General features: G+C 37.3%; 1 protein-coding gene across 9 annotated transcripts in view; it reads left to right on the top strand.

Annotated features, from left to right (window-relative positions):
- Positions 1-13,274, top strand: part of PPP2R5E (protein phosphatase 2 regulatory subunit B'epsilon) — a 172,014-nt gene that overhangs the window by 126,191 nt on the left and 32,549 nt on the right. For all 9 annotated transcript variants that reach the window (NR_104104.3, XM_047431543.1, NM_001282179.3 and 6 more), the window contains one exon: positions 1,955-2,047. Coding sequence is in view for 8 of the 9 variants with exons in the window: in XM_047431543.1 (XP_047287499.1) it covers positions 1,955-2,047 (93 nt within the window). In the remaining variant the exon portion in view is untranslated. The remainder of the gene's footprint in view (positions 1-1,954; positions 2,048-13,274) is intronic.

Raw genomic sequence — 13,274 nt, 5'->3', positions numbered from 1 at the left:
ATTTAAAAGAGCTGCGTAACTCAATGAACCAATATTTTCCAGTTGGCAAATGATGTTAGGAAAGCATGCATGGATAAAGATCCATTCAAAGTGCAAGACAGATGATTGGATTTTAGTGTAACAAAGTATGAAAAGTTCATTGATATCATTTCAGATTCTGTGTTGCAACTAATCTTTAAGAAATGACAATTTGTTGAATTTAGTGTAGCATCAAAGAAGAATATCTACAATTATGTGGGAGAAAAAGAAACTAGTAAAATACTCTCCCTTTTTTGATGGAGATCTCCCTGGATCTCCGTCAGCCTTGATTTTCTTTGTATACTTAAACCAAAATGACATATCACAACAGATTGGATATAGAAGCAGATGAAAATCTGTCTTACATTAAGCCACATATTAAAGAGATTTATAAAACTATAAAACAATGGCTTTCTTCTCAATTCTTTTGGAAAGTAAAGTTTTTTTTTTCTTTTTTTTTCAGGAACATAATTATGTTAACATATAATGCACCTTGTTTTTAAATGAAACAGTGAAATTTTAAAGTTTTTTTCACTTTTTATTTCTGATTAGATATTATATATATCATATATATCTCATATAAACAAAAGCTTTGGGGTCCTTGTTAATTTTTAAGTGTAAAGGAGTGAGACCAAAAAGTTAGCAAATGTTATTTTAGGAATAGTGATGATGATACATGTTAGTCATTGTGCAGAGGGCTTTATGTGTGTATTTTCACATTTAATCTTAGAGACTATCCATCTCCATTATAAAATCGAAGAGACAAAGTTTCAGAGAAGTTAACTTGCTCAGGGTTACACAGTTAGTAAGGAAAAGAGTTAGGCATTCAACCCAGTATTCATGGTTTAAAAAGTTCTGGATTATATATGTATTTTTTAGAGAAACAGAGTCTTGTTCTCTTGCCCAGGCTTGACTCAAACTCCTGGGCTGAAGCAGTCCTCCCTCCTCAGCCTTCTGAGTAGCTGAGACTGCAGGCGCAGGCAGTTGTACCAGTTAAAGGTTCTGGTTTTGATATACTGTTGCATACCTCGTCAGGATCTGATGTAGCCTTTGACATAGGCTTATTATGCAAAGAGAATACGCAGTGATTCCCCACTGTTTATCAGAACAATTATTTGAGGCTGACTTTTTGCAGATGGGTATATTGTGCCACACCATCTTATGATCCGATGAGTAGAAATTGCCATAAACTTTCTGAAAAGAAATTTGTCAGTGAGTATCAAAAATTCTGAATGTTTGGATATCTTGTGATCTAGCAATTCCACATTTAGAAATATTTCCTCATGACATAATTGAACAAGTACATACTGATGTATGTTATGTGATGCACGTTGTCGCAGAATGATGGAGAAATAATTCAGAAACTACTTAAATGTCTAAGCCTGGGAGGTTGGTTAAATTAATTATGAATAATGGAATTATTCATTATAAATTATAATGGACTACTTACAGCTACTAAGAATGATAGTTGAGATATTATTGATGTAAATTGTTCATAATACATTGTTTAAATGGTAAAAGTAGTCTGTGAAACTGTAAAAATATATTTATATGGTATGTTAAATGAAGTATATACATAATATATTGTTTAAATGGTACAAGTAGTTTGCAAAACTGGAAGAATATATTTATAGTACATTAGTATGTTGTAGAAGGAAATATATACATTGAAATGTTAACAGTGGTTGTCTCTGAATGGCAAGATTATGGGAAATTTTTCTTTGCTTTGTTTAGTTGTATTTTCTAATTTAAAATTTTAAAAGTTGAAAGCATAACAGCAACTGTGAGCCACAAGAAAGGCTGGCCTGGTTTGTTGATTGATATTAAAATCAATTTTCTAAGCCCTGTCACTTTTAGTGTTACAGGCTTTTGGTGGTTTTTAGTACTGTTCTCAGTGAGTCATAATTTGAAATTAATTATAATCTGTTTGTTGCAGCTTGTATATGAATTTTTCATACGATTTTTGGAAAGCCAAGAATTCCAACCCAGCATTGCCAAAAAATATATAGATCAGAAATTTGTATTACAGGTAAGCAAATTATTGTGGTTGTGTGTATTTGTCATCCAGTTAACACTTTATCTCATTTTCTCTTCATGTTTGTTAAAAAAGTTTTGCAATGACAGTTATATCACCCACAAAATATATATATATATATAAACATAAGTTAATTTCCATTACTGCCTATTAAAAGTAATAGGTACATTTAAGTTTATTTATGGTAGAAATCAATTACATTTTAAATAGCCAGGAATGCTAATGCCTAAATCCCTACAGTTTTCTCTAAAAATTTAATTATAAAGGAATTTCATTTATATAACCTTGGTTTGTGGGAATCGTTATATAGCTTAAAGACTTACATTTGCGTAAGGATTCTTAAAGAAGTGTGGTGTAGATCTGTTAAAACTGAGTAGGCAAGCTCAGACTTCAAAGCATAAGTAACCTGTAATAAATAATCAAAGTCAGGGTACTGATGAGATTTCACTGCTAGAAAATAGCATAGCTTAACATTCTAAAATTTCCCTAAAGGGATTAACTCTCATGTCTCCATTTGGAACATCTCCGGGAACACTTTTTTCCTGACTCCTCATTGTGCATGTTATAACAATGGATCTTCCTTTTTACCTGGAACTTGGGTGCTTTCATGGCACTGAAGTTTTAGGTAACACTTCCTTGCTCCTGTTGTTGATATATTCGTCTCTAAAAATGGGTGCTTGAGCCAAACTGGTGTAGCTCTCTTCTGAGTGACATGTGGGGCATCTAATGTAGGAAAGAATAAATGTTTATCTCCTAGTAAGCCGGTAAGAAGAATTTCAAATTTAAAACATTAATTTGATCTAGCCTGGGCAAAAGAGCAAGACCCTGTCTCTAAAAATAAAATAAAAAGTAAAACATTAATTTGGCAGGAAATTGGTCTCCTGTGCCTTACTGGGATGGGGCTGATAACCTTTGTGATCTCATTTCCCTCCTTAATTAAATTAATACATTTGGAATTTAGGATATATAGGTTGAACCATAGCCAATTTTTTGACTGTTTTTGACACTCAAAACAGCAGTTTCATAGGGTTCAATCCAACAGGGTCAGGCAAGCTTCCAGAGAGCTGAGGGGCATGGAGGCCTCTCTACATCCTAAGTAAGGCTAAGTGGAATTAAACCCAAAGTTCAGATGTCAGCTCAGAGCTGAAAGGAGCTTTGGTGCCTTGCCTGTGCGGCTCATTAGTACCTGTACACCCTATTCCCCTAGGTACATGGGGCGGATCCTTGAGCAATACTTCACATTTAGAGTACTTTGGTACCACACTGGTGAATCCTGGCTCACACTTTAACATGAGAGGGTTTGGAAAAGTGAGGTCTGAAATAGAGATGGAAAGGTAGGTAAATAGATGGATACGTGGATCACGGGGTAAATAGGTAAATTGGTATGGATTGTTATGCCAGGGAAGCATAACTTATTTCAAAAAAAATGTAAGTGATACATAGTAGATCTACATTTTGTATTGGAAAGCCTTGCATGTATATAGTGCTGTCTAATTGTCAGAGCACCTTTGCCTGCGTTAGTTGATTTGTACAACAGTCTTGTAAAGTAGTCATGACTAAATTTTTATGCCCTCCCTCACCCTCCGCCCCATTTTATAGATGCATAAACTGAGGTCTAGAAAGATTATCAAGTTTGCTCAAGCACATTTCCTATTCTGGATTTCTGTCCATCATGCCGTGATGCCTTCTTGTGATTCCCTCACTGTAACTTGGAGTGACTTCAAGGGAGAAGTAGCCCTCACATCTGAAGACTAATGAAATAATAGGGTTCTCCTATTTTTTGTGAATTAATGTGCCTAAGAGGATCAGATAGTAATTCTCTATTAGAGCCTGTATTTAGTTGACATGGAATCAGTAAATCCTATGGTCTTACTATGAAGCCAGTGCTTTTCTTACACAAAAACATCCAGGGCTCAGCCCAGTGTGCTGTCCATGGTAGACAGTACTGAAGATAATGAAACTTATAATACGAAAACATCAGAGAAACCCAGATTTGGAAAGGACATTTTGGGTTATGTATTCTAGTTCTTTAGCAAATTAGTCTCCTTTGAGACCCTTTTTCAGTGAAGAAAAGCCATATACACAGGTAGCTTGTTCCATTTTTGTTAGGAAGTTCTTTTTTTATGTTGAACCTCTCTATGCCTTGTACCCTTTGTCTTTATTCTCCCCAGAATAATTTCTTAGTATATCTGTAGCCCAGACATAACCTTTCAGGTCTTAGAACACAGCTTTTGTGTTCACCCTTTGACTCTTTTTCTCTATAACAGTGGTTGCAATTCAAATGCTCATAGCCTCATACATAGTAAGTCTGAAAGCCAGGGGTCAGACAATAGGATGTAGACTGGTTCCTATTAAATGGGGCTTTGGCTACCCCTCTTCATTCAGTTATCCCCAGACTTTTCTCCTCGCCAATCCCCAAGATAAATAGAAATCCAGATTCTTCTGTGAAGTTTTCTGGTATTACTAAAATCTTGTACAGAATGAACTAGCCCATTTGCCTTCTGGATCTAGCCTACCAGCTGTCAGTATGCATTTTCTCCTCTAGACCGAGTTCTTCGTTCTGTCAACCTTCTCTCATTTGTTAGTTTTGAAGCCTTCAGTATCCTGGTTGTGTCCATTTGTCCTCTAATATGACATCTATATTTGAACAGAATGCCCTGAGCCTGGTCAGCCCAGTGCGGCTTAGAGTTGGCTTTTTCATTCCCTTGTCGTGACTTTAGGTTTCTTAAAGGAAAAGTCTCATGAGCATTTCTTGCTGTAGCATGACATTGCCAACTTATGTTAAGCTTCTGGTTATAGCTGGCTTCTAATTGAGCTTTCTGCATATTGCTGCATGTTTCTCTTCTTTTCCCTTTTTTAAACAAACAGGGTCTTGCTATGTTGCCCAGATTGGGCTCAAGTGATCCATCTCAGTCTTCCAAGTAGCTGAAACTACAGGTGTGCACCACCATGCCTGGCTTATTGTTGGTTGTTACACAGTTGGCTTTTTTATCTAAGTGTAGTACTTGGCATATGTTCCTGTGGAATCATTTATCCCTTATTCATATCTACCTTATTCACTGTGTCTTCCATCTTTATGACATCTGTAACCTAAATATGCTATCGGCCTCATCTAAGTCATTGATTAAAATTGTTTAACTAGGATAAAACACTACCTATTGGGTACAGTGCACACTATTATATATGGGTACGCTAAAAGCCCAGACTTCACTGCCATGCTTCTAGTAGTCTATTTTGTGTTGCTGTAAAGGAATTCTTGTGGCTGGGTAATTTATGAAGAAAAGAGGTGTATTTGGTTCATTGTTCTTCGGACTGTACACGAAGCATGGCACTAGCATCTGCTTCTGGTGAGGGCCTCAGGAAGCTTATAATCATGGTGGAAAGCAAAAGGGGAGCATGTGTGTCACGTGGTGAGAGAGGAGCAAGACAGAGGGGGCAGAGGTGTCAGGCTTTTTTTTTTTTTTTTTTTTTTTTTAAACAACCACATCTCACGGTAGCTAATAGAGTGAGAACTCACTCATTACTTCAAGGACAGCACCAAGCCATTCATGAGGGACCCACCTCCATACCTCCATGATCCAGATACCTCTCACTAGGCCCCACCTCCAACACTGGGGATCACATTTCAACACGAGATTTGGAGGGAACAAAAACCAAACTATATCAATGCAATATATCCATGTAACACAACTGCACTTGTACTCCCAAAACTATAAAAATAAAAATAATTTTAAAAAAAAGAAAAAGTTGTTAAACTAGCCAGGGTTGAGATAGGAGCCTTTAGAAATTCCCTATATTACACAGCTTCATCATTAATCAGTAATCTTTGAGTTTTATCCTTGATCCAGAAATTTACTAGTATATTATCATCCTTCCTGCATTTCTTAATTTTGGTTGTATGGAGAACATAGAGACTATTAGATGCTATGGTAAAAGCCAGGACTCTGTGTTTATAGCATTACTGTCATCTATAGGCCTTGTAACTTTATCATAAAAAGGAATGCCATTTATCTGCCATGTGGTATTAGTGAACGTCTAGAGCTAGTGCTGTTTACTGATGATCCTGCCCTAAGTGCTTGCAAACCATGGGTTTGTTCATCTGTCCTAAAATTTTGCCAGAGACAAGAAATAAAGTGTCAGTGGTGAAGTTCATTTATATACTTTATGTTTTCAGCCCCTTCCTCATTTTTCCAATTGTTGCCTTCTTTACTTTCCATCTGCTGGATCTGTTATAAATTTGACCTTCACACCAGGGCTCACCCCAGTTCCTGAATGAATTGTGAAAGTGGCAAGCAGGGGTATTGGCAGAATCAGCACCACCATTGAGAGCTTGAATGAAATCATCTGACTAATCAGTGCATTAACTGCCATGTTGGGAATAAGCCCTGGGCACCTGTTAGCTCCCATTTTCCAGAATACCCTGCTCATTCATGTTGGTAATCTGTAAGTTGGCCTCCTGTCCTTTTCCTTACCCTTTAGTCTGCTGATGACTTACCTTCGCTCCCGGTGCCTTCTAAGAGGGGGCCTTAATTTCTTAACTGGTTCTCCTGAGATCCCTTCCTGGCCAGTTTGGTTCTGCTGGGGAGTGGGTGGGCCTTTGGGGCTTGAGGGATTGATGCTGATATTTTACCCCATTATCCCCCGTCTCACTCATTCCTCCTCCTCTTTCCCACTGTGACTTAACTGTCCTTGAATTGACAGGTCCTTCTAACCTCTGCACTCGGTAGTCAGGTCTTTTTCACACCCCCGCTTGTCCTTGCATTTTTCTGAACTCCATCGTCTCCCATGGTGCCACCTGTTCCTAGTGTGTTTCTCTTATGACATGGAAACCTACATCCTTTTCCTTTTGACAAATCAGGATGACGTTTACCCTGTTTCTTTTCTTTGGGCAGATTTCTATTTTCTGTGGGTTTTCAGTGGTCTCAAAAAAGAATCTTGGTAATCTCAGCTTAAAATTTCTTTCTTCAGTTAGACAGAATTTATTGTATCCATGAGATTTCAACTTATTTTCTGTAGCAGCTGAATATGTTCTTTGCAGTCAGTCTTCTGACTGTCATTCCTCTGTCAGTGAATACAAAAGCAAAATAGGAATTGAGCTATTTTACTATGACGTAGTGGAAAGTTAGGAAGCTTTGGGTTTGAATCTTGACTTCCCTATATATTGTAAGTATATTTTAGGAGCTGAGAATGTGAACTTTGGGGTCAGAAGAAACTGCATACAAACTCTGGCTTCTCTGCCTACTTGCAGTATGACTTTCAGCAAGTTTGTATACCTGTTGTCCAAGCCTGAATTTCCTGATTCATGACATGGGATAACAGGATAAATGAGATACTGTTAAGTAAAACAGGAGACACGTCAAAATCGACAGTTGTCAAATCTGCTTAGTTCACTTGGCAGTGTGGATACAAAGACAGGATCCCTGCCTTCAATCTTAAACAGGTGACTGAAAACCTTGGGCAGATTATTGACCACTCGGAGCCTCAGTGTCGTTTTTTATAAAATGACATTAAGATCACCTATCACAACAAGTCACAGCAAGTAGGCTTGTTATGAGATAAAATGAGATGACTTGTAAAAATGTCTACTGGTATCACCTATGGGGCATAGTAGTTGCTCATTAAATATTAATTCATCTTTTCACAACCCCCTCATATGTTATCTGCCCGCATTGATAGAATGTATTATTTTTCTTGATTCCAATAATTTTAGTTTTATTTATTTATTTTGAGACAGAGTCTTGCTCTGTTGCCCAGGCTGGAGTGCAGAGGTGTAATTTCAGCTCACTGCAACCTCCACCTCCCGGGTTCAAGTGATTTTCATGCCTCAGCCACCTGAGTAGCTGGGATTACAGACGTGCACCACCAAACTCAGCTATTTTTTGTTTATTTGATTGTTTTTTTGAGACAGAGTCTTGCTCTGTCACCCAGGCTGGAGTGCAGTGGTACAGTCTCAGCTCACTGCAACCTCCGCCTCCTGGGTTCAAGCAATTCTCCTGCCTCGGCCTCCTGAGTAGCTGGGATTACAGGCACTCGCCACTACGGCTGGCTAATTTTTTGTATTTTTAGTAGTAACGGGGTTTCTCCATGTTGGTCAGGCTGGTCTTAAACTCCCAACCTCAGGTGATCCACCTGCCTCGGCCTCCCAAAGTGCTGGAATTACAGGCATGAGCCACCAAGCCCGGCCCTAATTTTTGTATTTTTGGTAGAGACGTGGTTTCACCATGTTGGCCAGGCTGCTCTTGAACTCCTGGACTCAAGTGATCTGCCCACCTTGGCCTCCCAAAGTGCTGGCAATACAGGCGAGTCACTGTGCCTGGCTTCCAGTATTAATTTTAAAATCTTCATTTTTTGAAATAGAATTTTAAAAATATATATGAAAGTTGAAGAAGGCTTGAATAAATGCAGAAATGTAGCATATTGCTAGATGGAAAGACTCACCATCAGAAAGATGTCTATATAATCTCCAAATTATTTATACATTAGTGCAGTTCTAATTAAAATTAGTTTTTTAAAAACTTGAAACGTTTAGAGTTATGAAATAAATTTTTGAAAAAGATGACTAATGATATGGTACTTATTAAATAATATACTACAAAGGAAAAGGTAAGTTAATTAAAACAGTATGGCTTTGGAACAGTAGAATGGAACATAATAGCGCCTTAGGTGGAGATGACCCTGCTGAGCGTGCCATAAAACCCATAAGAAGATGTACCAAATAAACGAATGAATAAATATATGAATAGATGGCTATATACACATATACGTTAAATTGGCATAATTGTCCTGAAGAGAAAACCGATAGTATTCTATCAACTTAAATTTAGACCCAACAATTCTGTGAGAAATAATCAGATATGTACAAAAGATATATATACAAAGGTTATTGAATGCACCATTGCTAATAATTATTAGAAAATTGGAAAATAACTTCAAAGTTCCTTAGTAGGAGGTAATTGTACTGTGGACATTCATATAGTGAAATATTCATCAGTTTGTAAAAAGAATGTGATAGACCTACTCAATGATCTATTTTAGGTGAAACATGCATTGTTATAGAACAGTATAATTTTTGAGCCTGTATCTGTTATTTTAGGGAAAAATAATGTTAGTATTTTTGTCTTAGTTCTTTTGTGCTGCTTTAACAAAATGCCTCAGACTGGGTAATTTATAAAGAACAGAAGTTTATTTCTTACAGTTCTGGAGGCTGGGAAGTTCAAGATCGAGGTGCTGGCATCTAACGAGTGTCATCTTACTGGGTGTGCCCTCACATGGTGGAAGGCAGAAGGATGAGAGAGAGTGAACCCATGTCCCAAATCCCCTTTCATAGTGGCATTAATCTATTTATGAGGGCAGAGCCCTTATGACCTCAACACCAAAAGGCCTTACTTCCCAACACTGTTTCATTGGAGATTAAATTTTTATCACACGAATTTTGGGGGACACATTCAGACTATAGCAATATGCATTAACAATTTTGAAAGGAGTTCTACCAAATTGTTGTTAATTGGCTGGAAGGGGGTGATTATGTGTGATGATCTTCACTTCCTATTTTTTAGATATCTCTATTTTTTATATAAAAAAAATAAGCATATATGTTGTAATCAATAAGAATAAAAAATTTCATCTGCAAGTACATTCTCATTTTATTGCCTTGCATTTTTCATAAACCTCAGCTGATTTTGTGCATTAGCCTTCCTAAGACTATTTTTGTATGATAGCACCATTCTTTTATGCCCAGTATTCGTTGCTTCCTTCCTTTCACCATTTGTATCTGCCCTTTGAAAATCTAAAGCTCAAATGAAAGCTTCCTGTGTTGCCTCAAGTGCCTTTTTCAATACCTTGAATTTTTCTTCCTTATCAGGAAGCAGTATAGATTGGTGGTTAAGTGTACAGACTGATTTGAATTCGGGCTCTGCCATTTTTTTTGTATTCGACCTTGGACAAGTGACATAACTACTGTGTGCCTCAGTTTCCTCATCTAGAAAGTAGATGCAAAATATCATAATCACATTGTAAGGTTGTTGTGGAGATTTAACAACTAAATACCTATACAAACTCTCAGAAGTATTCCCAACACATGGTTCATATTCAGTAAACGTTATGCTGGTGGTGTCACTAATATTTTTATTAGGATTCTTGTTTTGAGAACTTTCTTAAGCTCTGTTTTCTTTAATAGCTTCAGTCCATGAAATCATATAGTGTTAGCCTGTCATGTCTTACCTAGCATGTTATGAATTATTTGAAATCCAACTCTTATTCTAAAAATCATTGGTATCCATTCAACTCTACGTATATGGTTCTTCACAGGCTGTTGGGTTCTCTTAAGATGTTACATGGGTTTCCTGTGTCTCTGGATTCTCTTCAGTTCCACTTTGCCAACTGATTTCCTCCAATCAGTGTTGAACATAAATGTTTATTAGTGCCAGGAACGTATAATTTATAATGTGTGAAAACCAGGGATAGCCCATTTAAATCTTTACAGAGGACAGACAAATGGTACATGATTAAGTAGTGTTGGTATGACCAAAGGAGTGATGGAAACTGTGGCGATTTAGAGAGCTTGGATCCTGCTGCCAATCCGCTCCCAGTAACGGTTGGTCTCTAGGTAAGTGAGCCAAGTATTGCTAGATCTTTTGGCTTTTCAAGAGAAGCTGGAAAGCCATATTTTGGTAGAGCCAGACAAAACAGTCTGTTGTTTTTCTTTTTCTTTTTTTTTTTTTTTTGAGATGAAGTCTAGCTCTGTCACCCAGGCTGGATTGCAGTGGCTCGATCTCGGCTCACGGCAACCTCCGCCTCCCGGGTTCAAGTGATTCTTCTGTCTCAGTCTCCTGAATAGGTGGGACTACAAGCATGCACCAGTATGCCTGGCTAATTTTTTGTATTTTTAGTAGAGATGAGGTTTCACCATGTTGGGCAGGCTGGTCTTGAACTCCTGACCTCGTGATCTGCCCGCCTCGGCCTCCCAAAGTGCTGGGATTACAGGCGTGAGTCACTGCGCCTGGCCAACAGTCTGTCGTTTTTCATTCAAGGGTTTTGAATGTTTTTGTTTGAAGGGTTTTGTTGTTTTTTATTCTAGAATAGTATGACTGGCTCACTTGAATTTCAGTGTGATTTTTATTAAATCTAGATTTACATAACCTGTAGCATTTTTTGTGTACTCACTTAAGTGTTTGGACAAGAAAGCTGTTAGAGATTTATCAAAGATAGTCCATTCATTGCATAGTGCACTTTTGTCTGTGGTAATGTTGATTTCAGACTTAAGTAACTTGGTTAACTGCCTTCTAGAGCTATGACTATGTAGACTTGCCTAGGCTTTATGGAACAATTTTGTCTATTCTTAATAAAGATAATTTTCATCTGTATTGGGATGGTTGGGAAAATGGTTTCTTTATGATCCCCCAACCCCTTCTTTAGACCTAAATGAATTAGCAATACTTCGATTATTTCATTGGGTGGATTATTGTGGCAAGAGTTTAGCAACATATTTCTAAAGATTACTTTCAACTACTCTGCAAATCTGAAAAACAGTCAGTGGTTGCTGAGAGACATACTATTCAAGTATCCCCGTAAACATATGTACTGCTGGAGATTGCTATTTAGTAATTTGTACTTCACATTTGCTGTTATATTTAGCTGAAAGGTACTGTAATTATCATGTAAATTATGCAGATCATGCAAATCATTCAGCCTGTCCTTAAAAGTGACCTTTTGTTATTGTGTTTTTAAAAACTCAAGACAAATTGGACATGACACAAACCAACCTATTAAAAAAATTTTAGTTCTAAACTGAAATAAATTCCACAAGGCCTTGAATCTCAGCTCCAATACAAAGAACTATTTTCCAAACGAGTTCCTTGAATATGTCAAAATGTTTACATTTCTCTCTCACAGCCTATAGCAAGTAAGTGTTGGGAGCATTTATTTCTACCTGGAATTTTATGAGATAGCCATTGCCAATTACCAGTTAACATCACTTCATCCTGTCCTGTCCAGTGTATAACTCAAAAATCTTGTAAAAAGGGCTTTATTGCTCTGACTCCTGCATTCAGAGCCAGCTTCCTGGTTGTATAATTTGTGCAGTTGTGCTGGGCCCTGTGCTTAGAAGGGCCCTGTGCTTGGTTTAGTGCTCTGCTCTTGCTGTCTTGAAACTCTTAATACTTTTTGAGCAGGGACCACCGCATGTTTATTTTGCACTAGGCCCCACAAATTATGTAGCTAGTCCCTGCCTGCTTCCCACTAAGTGCATCATTATTTAGCACAATAGCTCTTTCTTGAATTGCTGACCAAATAGGTTGTCTTAAAAATTTAAATCACAAGGTTGTCTTGAAATAGATAGTATGCTCAAGGGGAAAAAAATGGACTTCTTTGGTTTGTGGAAAGAATGCTTGAAATTAAATGGAGGAAAATAAAAGCGTGTGACTTGGTGGAGTTGTTCATATTTGTACGCCTTACACTTTCGAAAGTTTTGTATTGAATTTCCATAGGAGTCTTGGAGTCAGAATTGCCAGAAGCTTGTGATCGCAACCTTTTGATGCCTTGTCCCCATTGTCCTTTCTCAGTATTTGCCCCATAGGTTGCTTCATTTTATACAGTGCATCCCTTGAGTCGTTCTGATTCACTGGAGTCAGACTACCTTTGGCTCTGGTTTCTTTGTTCTGGGCTGTTTTCTCTGTATTTGGCCAAGGTGAAAGTATGAGGAAGATAGTTTTCAGGTAGTAGGAGAAAGTTGCAAACAAAGCCAGAAATGTGGACATCTGATTTTAGTGCTCTGTGGCACTTTGGATGAAAACATTTAGAATACCAATTTTATCGGTTATCTATTTGAAGAATTCTGATGTTCTCTAAAATCTTACTTTACATGGAATAGGGCAGGGTAATTCTTTATTATAGCAGAGAGCAACTGGGTTGTTTTGCTCGAAACCTTTTGCTCTTAATGACTTTTAAAAATAGTTTTGATAATGCCTACTTTTAAAATTCCAATATGTTTATATGATTTTTAATGAAAAATAGCAGTCTCTTGCCTCATCTTTCTCCAAACCAGAGTCCTATTTCCTAGAAGTAACCACACTTAAGTCTTCCAGTTGTTTCTGTATATTTATTTCCATATTTCTAAACAGCATGCTTATACTGCTATTTTTTAACTTGTGATTTTAGATTTTATTTATGTCTATTGACTTCCTACTGTAAGCCATTATGTATCTCCCACTATAACTCCCTCTCT

This window comes from Homo sapiens, chromosome 14 (genome assembly GCF_000001405.40).
Source record: "Homo sapiens chromosome 14, GRCh38.p14 Primary Assembly".
NCBI classification, from domain to species: domain Eukaryota; kingdom Metazoa; phylum Chordata; class Mammalia; order Primates; family Hominidae; genus Homo; species Homo sapiens.
Note: the sequence above shows the minus strand (reverse complement) of the source record. Positions and strands in the feature narration are given on the sequence as shown.